General features: G+C 42.7%; 1 protein-coding gene across 4 annotated transcripts in view, besides 3 other annotated features; it reads right to left on the bottom strand.

Annotated features, from left to right (window-relative positions):
- Positions 1-11482, bottom strand: part of PM20D2 (peptidase M20 domain containing 2) — a 71626-nt gene that overhangs the window by 35865 nt on the left and 24279 nt on the right. Inside the window, exon 1 of one of the 4 annotated variants that reach the window (XM_005248662.5) lies at positions 8210-8398. The exons of the other annotated variants lie outside the window; for them this stretch is intronic. The gene's annotated coding sequence lies outside the window, so the exon portion shown is untranslated. Of the gene's footprint in view, positions 1-8209; positions 8399-11482 lie in introns of those variants that run through there. 4 annotated transcript variants of the gene reach the window in all.
- Positions 1017-1311: an enhancer, noted in NCBI's record as "tiled region #5254; HepG2 Activating non-DNase unmatched - State 23:Low". NCBI's record gives its function as "activates a minimal TATA promoter and a strong SV40 promoter by Sharpr-MPRA in HepG2 cells {active_cell/tissue: HepG2}" and the evidence as "EXISTENCE:reporter gene assay evidence [ECO:0000049][PMID:27701403]".
- Positions 1017-1311: a silencer, noted in NCBI's record as "tiled region #5254; K562 Repressive DNase matched - State 9:DNaseU". NCBI's record gives its function as "represses a minimal TATA promoter and a strong SV40 promoter by Sharpr-MPRA in K562 cells {active_cell/tissue: K562}" and the evidence as "EXISTENCE:reporter gene assay evidence [ECO:0000049][PMID:27701403]".
- Positions 6797-6926: an enhancer, noted in NCBI's record as "active region_24819". NCBI's record gives its function as "activates an Ori minimal core promoter by ATAC-STARR-seq in GM12878 lymphoblastoid cells {active_cell/tissue: GM12878}" and the evidence as "EXISTENCE:reporter gene assay evidence [ECO:0000049][PMID:35858748]".

Raw genomic sequence — 11482 nt, 5'->3', positions numbered from 1 at the left:
GACTGCTTGAGCCCAGGATGGTGAGGCTGCAGTGAGCTGTCATTTGTGCCACTGCACTCCAGCCTGGACAACAGAGTGGGACCCTCTCTCAAAAAAAAAAAAAAAAAAAAAATTAGAAACAGAGAGAAGAGGGGTGTCTTGGTCCATTTTCTATTGCTTTTAAAATAATACCTGAAACTGAGTAATTTATTTAAAAACTATTTATTTATTTAGAGACAGGATCTCACTCTGTTGTCCAGGCTGGGTTGGAAAGCAGTGGCACTATCATAGCTTACTGCAGCCTCAAATTCCTGAGCTGAAGCAATCCTCCTGCGTTGGCCTCCCAGAGGGCTAGGATTGCAGTATCTGGCTTCTTTTGCTCAACACAATGTGCTTGGGATTCATGCATGTTGGTCCACCCCTTTTTTCATTCTGTGTAGAATGCTATTGTACAAATACACATGATTGGACATGATCCCATCCCCTTTACTCCCCATTCTCCCTCACCCTCCTGCCTTTTGGCCTGTACCTCCCTTTTTTCTCTCCTCACATCTTGGTGGCAGCCCCCTGACTCTGCAGGAATAACCCCTCAATGAGTGTCAAGGGGTTCTTGGCCACAGAATGAGAGGCCACCACACCCTCTAGCTTTGCCTACACCAGCTTCTCTCCTTTTTCTTTTTTCTTGCAATTTGTTGAAGAAACTTTGTAGCTTGCCCTGTAGTTTTCCACATTGTGGATATTGTTGATTGCTTTCTTTTGGTGGTATTAATGTGCTTTTTTAGCCCCTGTATTTCCTGAAAACTGATAGAACTAGAGTTGTCACCAGCCACATATAGATATTGAGCATTTGAAAAGTGGCTCATGGGACTTATTGGAGGAACTCGCCCCCAATATTTCAACATAGGTTCTTTCTATTTTCCATAAGTGTCAGCTGGCTGAGAAATAAAGAGAAAGTACAAAGAGAGGAATTTTACAGCTGGGCCACCGGGGGTGGCATCACATATTGGTGGGACCATGATGCCCACCTGAGCCTCAAACCAGCAAGTTTTTTAATTAAGGGTTTCAAAAGGGGAGGGGGTGTAAGAACAGAGAGTAGGGACAAAGATCACATGCTTCAAAGGGCAAAAAGCAGAACAAAGATCACATGCTTCTGAGGGAACAGGACAAAGGGCAAAAGCAGAACTACTGATAAGGGTCCAACAAAGATGACAAGGCAAAGGGCAAAAGCAGAACTACTGATAAGGGTCTATGTTCAGCAGTGCACATATTGTCTTGATAAACATCTTAAACAACAGAAAACAGGGTTTGAGAGCAGAGAACTGATCTGACCACAAATTTACCAGGGTGGAGTTTTCTCCCCACCCTAATAAGCCTGAGGGTACTGCAGGAGACCAGGGCGTATCTCAGTCCTTATCTCAACTGCATAAGACAGAGACTCCCAGAGCAGCCGTTTATAGACCTCCCTCCAGGAATGCATTCCTTTCCAAGGGTATTAATATTAATATTCTTTGCTAGGAAAAGAATTTAGCAATATCTCTCCTACTTGCATGTCCATTTATAGGCTCTCTGCAAGAAGAAAAATATGGCTCTTTTTGCCTGACCCAGCAGGCAGTCAGACCTTATGGTTATCTTCTCTTGTTCCCTAAAAATTGCTGTTATTCTGTTCTTTTTCAAGGTGCACTGATTTCATATTGTTCAAACACACGTTTTACAATCAATTTGTACAGTTAACACAATTATCACACTGGTCCTGACGTGATGTACATCCTTAGCTTACGAAGGTAACAGGATTAAGAGATTAAAGACAGGCATAAAAATTATAAAAGTATTATTTGGGAATTGATAAATGTCCATGAAATCTTCACAATTTATGTTCCTCTGCTGCGGCTCCAGCCGGTCCCTCCATTTGGGGGTCCCTGACTTCCCACAACAGGACTAAATGAATTTAAAATTTTATTTTAAATTTAAATAGTCCCATGTGTTTAGTGGCCACAGTATTGGACAGTGCAGATATAGAACACTTCCATTATTACAGAAAGTTCTATTAACCAATGCTGAGCTAGGCTAGACTCAGTGTTTTTGGAAGAGCATTTCAGCTAGGTGCAGTGGCTCTGGCCTGTAATCCCAGCACTTTGGGAGGCTGAGATGGGTGAATCACCTGAGGTCATGAGTTTGAGACTAGCCTGGGCAACATGGTGAAACTCCATCTCTACCAAAAATCAAAATTAGCCAGGCTTGGCGGCACATGCCTGTAATCCAAGCTATTCGGGAGGCTGAGGCAGGAGAACTGCTTGAACCCGGGAGGCAGAGGTTGCAGTGAGCCAAAATCACACCACTGCACTCCAGCCTGGGCAAGAGAGTGACACTCCGTCTCAAAAAAAAAAAAAAAAGCATTTCACAGGTACTGATGTGAACTTCCTTCAGAAGAGCATATAATGGATGTTTCTCTTTGTATTAATTTAGCAGTCATTTATGGCCATTGCCTGGACCCACTACTTCATTAGGGGTTGCAAAATTATGACATTATAATTCTATCATCTCCTCTTTATTTTATTGACTGGAATACTTTTAGAAAAACAAAACAAAACAAAACTTCCTTCATCAACCATTTGGGTTACCCTGAGGAATAAATTTATACAGGAAAGTTAGGATCCAAAGGTGACCAATTAGGGTTGTTTTTTAGTATAATTATGAACTTGTGCACTTAAAAATATTTGATATGTTTTAATTCATTGCAGTTATTGTTCTTATTGCTACTCAAATTGTCTTATCTCTAGCCAGGATTGTCTTTGGAATCCTTTTCACATGACCCCAGAAGCTTTTGATAACTTTTTTCTGATATGACAAGATATTTTAGGTTCATTGTGTACATTTTTCCCTCAAGCATGGAATCAGCCACACTTCCAAAAAGTCATTGTTTATTTTAAGACAAAATTATATTTAGGGAGTATGGTCTGGGCCATAAGGGGTGCCAAATGGTACTGGGCTGGTCATTGTTTCTAAGCCTTTTCAGTGGACAATGCTAATAACTCCTTTTTTTTTTTTTTTTTTTTAGATGGAGTCTCGTTCTGTCACCCAGGCTGGAGTGCAGTGGCGCAATCTCAGCTCACTGCAACCTCCAAGTTCAAGCAATTCTCTGCCACCCGAGTAGCTGGGATTATAGGCGCCTGCCACCATGCCCAGCTAATTTTTGTATTTTTAGTAGAGATGGGGTTTCACCATCTTGGCCAGGCTGGTCTTGAACTCTTGACCTTGTGATCCACCCGCCTCGGTCTCCCAAAGTGCTAGGATTACAGGCGTGAGCCACCATGCCAGGCCTTTTTTTTTTAAGACAGGTCTTTCTATGTCCCTCAGCCTGGAATGCCGTGGTGCAATCATGGCTCACTGCAGTCTTAACTTCACAGGCTCAAGTGATCCTCCCACCTCAGCCTCCCCAGTAGCTGGGACTACAGATGCGTGTCACCACACCTGGCTAACTTTTTAATTTTTTGTAGAGACGGGGTCTCACTTTGTTGCCCAGGTTGGTCTCCAACTTCTGGGCTCAAGCCATCCTCCTGCCTTGGCCTCCCAAAGTGCTGATACTACAGGCATGAGACACCATGCCCAGCCAAGAAATACTTTACTTTTTTTTTTTTTGAGACAGAGTTTCACTCTGTCGCCCCGGCTGCATTGTAGTGGCATGATCTCAGCTAACTGCAACCTCCACCTCCCAGGTTCAAGTGATTTTCCTGTCTCAGCCTCTCAAGTAGCTGGGGCTACAGGCACCCACCCCAATGCCCAACTAATTTTTGTATTTTTACTAGAGATGGGGTTTTGCCATGTTGGCCAGGCTGGTCTCGGACTCCTGACCTCAAGTGATCCGCCTGTCTGGGCCTCCCACAGTGCTGGGAATACAGGCATGAGCCACTGTGCCTGGCTGAGAATTTTTTTTTTTTTTTGAGACAGAGTTTTGCTGTTGTTGCCCAGGCTAGAGTGCAATGGTGCGACCTTGGCTCACTGCAACGTCCGCCTACTGGGCTCAAGAGACTCTCCTGCCTCAGCCTCCCGAGTAGCTGGGATTACAGGCACCCGCCACCACGCCCGGCTAATTTTTTTGTATTTTTAGTAGAGACGGGGTTTCACCATTTTGGTCAGGCTGGTCTTGAACTCTTGACCTCTGGTAATCCACCTGCCTTGGCCTCCCAAAGTTCTGAGGTTACAGGCATGAGCCACTGCACCCAGCTGAGAAATGGTTTTTTTTTTGAGACGGAGTCTCGCTCTGTCACCCAGGCTGGAGTGCAGTGGCGCGGTCTCGGCTCACTGCAACCTCCGCCTCCCAGGTTCACGCCATTCTCCTGCCTCAGTCTCCTGAGTAGCTGGGACTACAGGCGCCTGCCACCACACCCAGCTAATTTTTTGTATTTTTAGTAGAGACGGAGTTTCACCGTGTTAGCCAGGATGGTCTCGATCTCCTGACCTCGTGATCCGCCCACCTCGGCCTGCCAAAGTGCTGGGATTACAGGCGTGAGCTACCGCGCCCGGTGAGAAATACTTTTTAAAAGAGAAAATATATCACACACAAGACCCTTTTAACTGATCTGCTTGTACCAGTCTCTACTGTTCCAATTCATCCTCCACATTTTTGTCAGAATATCCTTATTAAACACAAATCTGATCTTAATCTCCTGCTTAAAAAATCTTGATGGGGCCAGGTACAGTGGGGTTACATACCTGTAACCCCAGCATTTTGGAAGGCTGAGGCAGGAGGATCACTTGAGGCCAGGAGTGTGAGACCAGCCTGGAAACATAGCAAGACCTACCTCTATAAAAAATTTAAAAATTAGCAGGGCATGGTGGTACACACTTGTAGCACCAGCAACTTGGGAAGCTGAAGTGGGAGGATTGCTTGAGTCCAGGAGGTTGGGGCTGCAGTGAGCCATGACTGCACCACTGCACTCCAGCCTGGGCAACAAAGCAAGACCCCGAATTGAAAAAAAAAAAAAAAACAACAACAGCAACAACAAAAACAACTTTGGCTCTAAATCTCCATTCCAATCTCTTTAGCATTCTTCCTTCCTTCTCCCCTAGTTCAGCAACACTACACTACTCTCACCACAAATGTCCCTTTGCTCATCGAGTTCACTTTGCTTTTTTTATTCCTGGGTGAATTTAATCCAATAAATAGCACAAACATTGATTTCCTCTAAAATAACTCCTAGTACTCCCCGCCAGAGAACTAATCTGTTTCCATTATATCCTCCATACTACTCCGAAATACCTTTATGTGGCACTAATGAAACAATATTATAATGACTTATTTACATACGTGTCTATCTCTAGCAAGAACGTCTCTCAAAAATTAAAGATACTCACCAGTGGTGGTACTATTTAGTTTTATATGTTACACTGATGAGACATTAAATGTGGAATTGCATAGTGTGAGAGTTAAAACTACAGGCACACACCACCATACCCAGCTACTTTGTTTTTATTTTTATTAGAGATGAGGTTTCGTATGTTGCCCAGACTAGGCCCTTTCCATATTTACATTAGGGAGAAAGTTTTAGTTTTGTGCCAGTATGTCTTCAACATCTCTATATTGAGTGATTAATTTCCCTTTTATAAGAGAGAGCAGGCTTGGAGCCTGCGCAGACAAAAGTAATCGGCTGGAATTTCCAACATGGTTTTGTTTATTATTATTATTTTGAGACATGATCTTGCTTTATTGCCCAGGCTAGAGTGCAGTGGCACGAACACAGCTCACTTCAGTCTCAACCTCCTGGACTCAAGTGATCCTCCCACCTCAGCCTCCAGAGTAGCTGGGACTACAGGCACACTCCACCATGCCCAACTAATTTGTTTTTATTTTTACTAGAGATGAGTTATCATATGTTGCCCAGACTAGTCTTGAACTCCTGGCCTCAATCATCCTGCCTCAGCCTCCCAAAGCACGGGGATTACAGGCATGAGCCATTGTGCCTGGCTCTCCTTCTGTCTATAAACCTTTTTTTTTTTTTTTTTTTGAGACAGTCTCACTCTGTTGCCTAGGCTGGAGTGCAGTGGCACGATCTCAGCTCACTGCAACCTCCACCTCTTGGGTTCATGAGATTCTTGTGCTCCAGCCTCCTGAGTAGCTGGGACTACAGGCACACACCACCATGCCCAGCTAATTTGTTTTTATTTTTATTAGAGATGAGGTATCGTATGTTGCCCAGACTAGTCTCAAACTCCTGCCCTTATGCAATCCTCCTGTCTCAGCCTCCCAAAGCACTGAGATTACAGGCATGAGCAACTGTGCCTGGCTCTCCTTCTGTCCATAAAACTTTAAAAATTAATATTGGTGATAGAGCTTTCTTTTTAAATAAAAGTGAGCTAATTTAAAGTAAACATATTATGGTAAAGAAGTACATCATTATGGCAAAAATCTCACAGGATGGATGAAAACGACTTAAGTTTGGGAAACAATGGACTAGGTCCTTGAGAATTAAGGAGCATAACTTCTATTTTCATCCCCAGTTCCTAGCACTGTGCTTCACATACAATAGATCAACACTAAGCAAATGGCAAATTAATTAGAAAGAAACACCCCCCCAAGATTTTCAATACCCAACATCATTTTAGGGAATATACAGGAAAAGTGACAGGCCTTCTAAGTTGACTTTTCTGAAAAAGTTAGTTTGATCCCTCCTAGTTACATTATTATCACACAAATGACCTTTTTAAAAACATGATTTCTTATGGCTATAGCAGAAGAGATCAAATTCATAAAAGGATACAATCATAGATTCTCCAACTGATTGTGTGGAATGATGATGTCTTATAAACCAAAGTACATAGGTAATAGAAAAATGTTTACAATGTGTTCTATACAAATCCCCACATCACTCTTCATGGTTTGTTTTAAGAAAGGATAGGCCATGGCAGCTCTCACTAGAGGAAAGCTAGCACCATCTGTTGGAGAGTGAGTTCACAACATAAAATGATATTCTCTGTTGACTTCATTAATCCTGACACTGTTTCTTCAAGGTACTTTTTAATCACACAAATTTCAAGACACTAATACCTACCTAAATACAATTTAATTTTCAATTAGTTCTAGTTATCCACTATGACAGTAATAAACAAAACTAGTTAATTAATCTGATTAAGATATTAATCAGATGTATTGTTTAATGCAGTTAAAATATTAATCAGTCTTTTACTATTTGACTTCTTGATTAGACCTGATAATTAGCCCATTCTGAGCCATTTAAGAAATGGAAGAAAAGCTTATTCAACCACATACTCTATCAGATTGCTTTAGAATAACAAATATCGTATGTATTGCTCAACATTGTAAACCTGCCTCAACTTCTTGATTATCCATGGTAATTAGGAAGAAATAGTGACAGCCTTGAATTGTGAACTTTACTAATAACCCAAACTCTTCTCCCACAAATCTACTGATGATATTGAGAGGTTTGTGCTTCTCCTGTACCATTCAGAATAGATGTTTCTAAGAGACAAAAAGAATGTAAGAGATAGTCAGCTCAGACTATGTGCAGGTAGGTAGAGATAAGAGGAAAGTCCTAAGTGTTTAGATTCTAAATGACAGTAAGTTATTGTCATATCAGCAATTTCCCCAAAGACAGGATTCAGGAGTAAACAACCAAACATTATAAATAGATTCACATGTGGCTCTATTTTAAACACAACATAGACTACTAATTTTAAAGACTTGTAAAACTGAAAAGAGATTCTGAATTTTTCTTGCAATACACTTTATAAAACCGTGATTCCAATGAAAAAGTTTAAAATGTATTTACTTTTGAAAAGTCAGGTGATGATATCTAAATGAGATATGACACAGGTTTTCCTAAAATATTTTCAAATCAAAGTCTCTCTTAGGTGAAAACTTAAAAAGCATTTAATTGATCATAATTTTTTAAATGTATTAAATAAAAAGTAATGGAAGCAACAGTTACTTCGAAGAACAATATATGAAACTCTCATGTAAAAATGAGGCTTTTGTTATGGGAACAGTTGTCAGATTTGCCAGTGGTATACTCCTTGGGAATCCTCAGGCAATTTAAGAAAAACATTAACTCTCCTAAGCCTGGAGGGTACCATTTGGTGCCTTAAAGCAATGATTCAATAAAGCAATACTTTTGTTAAATGGCACTTAAGTTCTAGAACAAAGGGTAAATATGAATATGTTTATGAGTCCAGGGACAGGCAGGGTGTTTACTCTTGACCTAAGCCTTTCCCCTACCTCTTCAAGTATCCTAATCTGCCAAAGGGAAGACAAAATACAGCTTCATCAGTTACTCATCTCAACTGGTTTAAGGACCAGGGCAAGACACTGGCCAAGCTGACTGTAACATTCCTTAGTTGGCCGTGCCCGACGATGTTCTCTCCTTAGGCCTTCCAACCAGAAAACAGCTTTCTTACACTTTACACTAGCTGCCTCAAATCATATCTGGAAAAAAGAACATACGTTTTTATGTAATATAAATAATTATGGCTCCACAACTTATTTTATATCAATTCCAGCTACCTTTTAAGTTCAAGTTGCTAAGAGAAACTCCTTACACAGTTGAAGACCCTTTCCTCAGGTATTTCCATCAAAAGGAACAGAAAAAACACCCCCTATCCATACATGCATGCTAAGTATTTTTGGATACTCCTACAAAAGCTTTTTTCAAACTGTAAAGAGCTTTGTGGTTTTTTTCTATATTTATAAAAAGCATTAAAAAAATCTGACAATACTAAAAGATAAGAAGAAAGCAAGTATCAGAGTATAATACCTATACCTGAATAGGTAAAAATAGAATAGAAAAATTCTATTTATACATGAACATACAGATAAATTTATTTATTTATTTACAGACAGGGTCTTGCTCTGTCACTCATGCTGGAATGCAGTGCACTGGCACAAACATAGTTCACTGCAGCCTCCAACTCCTGGGCTCAAGCAATCCTCTTGCCTCAGCCACCTGAGCAGCTAGGACTACAAGCATGTGCCACCATGGTTGGCTAATTTTTTTTTTTTTAATTTTCTGTAGAGATGGGGAGATTCTCTTATGTTGCCCAGCTGGTCACGAACTTCTAGCTTGGAGCAATCTTCCCAACTTGGCCTCCCACAGCACCAGGATACAGGCATGAGTCACCACGCCTGGCCAATATATTTTTAACTAAATAGGTTAATCGTTTACATGTCTCATGAATTGATTTTTCTCCACTTAACAGTATGTCAGGGATGAGTAATTGTGACTACCCACCAGGTCAAGTTTCTTTTCTTTGGTCAAGTTTTTTATTTGCAAAGTCAATGTAGTGGTTTGAATGGCGGCCCCCAAAAATACATGTCCAAGTCCTATCTCCAGGTATGTATCCTTATCTGGAAAAAGAATCTTTGCAGATGTAAGTGAGGATTTCAAGATGAGATCATTCTGAATTAACCAAGTGGGCCCTAAATCCAACGACAAATGTCCTTATAAGAGATAGAACTGGATAGGATAGATGGCTGATATCATTTGGCTCTGTCCCCACCCAAATTTCATCTTGAATTGTTAGCTCCCATAATTCCCACGTATTGTGGGAGGGACCTAGAGGGAGATAACTGAATCATGGGGGCAGTTCCCCATACTGTTCTCCTGGTAGTGAATAAGTCTCACGAGATCTGATGGTTTTATAAGGGGAAACCCCTTTCGCTTGGCTCTCATTCTCTGTCTGCCACCATGTAAGATGTGCCTTTTGCCCTACACCATGATTGTGAGGCCTCCCCAGTCTTGGGTATGTCTTTATCAGCAGTGTGAAAACGGACTAATACAGTGGCTCACACCTGTAATCTCAACTTTGGGAGGCCAAGGCAGGAGGATCACTTGAGCCTAAGAGTTTGAAATCAGCCTAGGCAACATAGACTCCATCTAAAATAAAAAGAGAGAGAGACAGAGAAAGAGAGAGAGAAAGACAGGAGGCCATGTGAAGACAGAAGTGGAGACTGGATCTATGTATCCACAGCCAAAACATGTGTGGGGCCACCAAAGACTGGAAGAAACAGAGGATTCCCCTAGAGTGCCTTCAGATAGATGATGGCCCTGCGGACACCTGGATTTCAGACTTCTGGCCTCTGAACTACAAGAGAATAAATTTCTGTTGTTTCGGGCCACCAAATCTGTGGTGCTTTGTCATGGCAGCCCTAGCCAACTAACACATGGTAAGCATTCTAAGCTTTTGTATTATGAATCCAGCCTGCTCTCCAGCCTCATTTTCCAACTCTTCTCCAGCCTCATGCTCCTGTTTTGCCTCATTTACTATATTGCCTCAAAGCCTTTGCACGTGCTGTTCCACTGCACTAATTACTCTTCTCCATTCTTTACCCATCTCTTCAAGACTTGTTCAGGGAACATAAGTGACCCTCTAGCCTTGCTCACCATCCCACAATGCCTGCTCTCAGCAGCATATAGTTCTTTTCATAGCCCTGTATTATAGTTTGTATCTTTACCAGTGTGATTGTTAGATTCTGCCTCCCTACCAAATTCTAAGCTCTAGGGGAATAGGCACGGTGCCAGTCTAGCCCTGTGCCTGCAGTGCCAGAGCAATCCCTTCTGAATGAAAGAATAGCCACCGTTCCAGTACAGCTGCAGACCCAGGAACCTCCACAGCCTCTGGGAGGGCTGTGAGCTAGAAGGGTGACCACGACATGTATTCTTCAAAGCCTACCACTTCTGCGAGCGAAAAGGGGCACTCTTCACACTTAGGAGTTGCCTGGTTACACTCCCAGCCCTGAATAACAGGCTGTGCCTGCCGGCCACAGGAGCAAGGCGAAGACGAGTCTAACTAGAAGGGGATGGGCTACAACATTTTGGGGGAATAGGGAGAGGGTAATTTAAATTTTGCTTAACTGTCCCTGCATTTAAACTGTTGTCTTCTACATCATGTATTCATTTGTACATTCGTTTGTCCCCCCTCTAGAATGTAAGCTCAGAGGGCGGGGCTTGGCCTGTTTGTTCATTGCTATATCCCACGCTAAGTGCCTGGCGCATAGTAGACGCTCAATAAACATCTGAATGAATGTACTCACAGCTGAGTGTTATGCCCCAAGTGAATAAAGGATGAAGAATCATATAATACTTAAAAATCCAACAGGCCAGGCGCGGTGGCTCACACCTGTAATCCCAGCACTTTGGAAGGCCGAGGCGGGAGAGGCTTGAGCCCAGGAGTTTGAGACCACCTGGGCAACACAGCGAGACCCCGTCTCTATTAAAAAAACAAATCCGAACAAAACCGAGACCTCACAGTTGGAAAGCCGAAGGCTCAAGACCAGAGGGGCAGGAGGCCTACCAACTGCCAAGGTCCTGCGCTCAGGACGATGCGCTGAGGGCCGCGGAGGCTGAGCGGGGGCGCGGTTGAAAGCGGCTCTCACTGACCCCACCTCCGCCCAGCCGCAGCCCCGCCACCACCTCTGGGTCCTCTAACCCCCGGCGTCCCCGCCGCGGCCTCAAGCCCCCTCTTGGCCTCCGCCCTCCTGACATACACTGGCCCT

This window comes from Homo sapiens, chromosome 6 (assembly GCF_000001405.40).
Source record: "Homo sapiens chromosome 6, GRCh38.p14 Primary Assembly".
Classification (NCBI taxonomy): Eukaryota; Metazoa; Chordata; class Mammalia; order Primates; family Hominidae; genus Homo; species Homo sapiens.
This window is presented reverse-complemented; position numbering and strand designations above follow the sequence as displayed.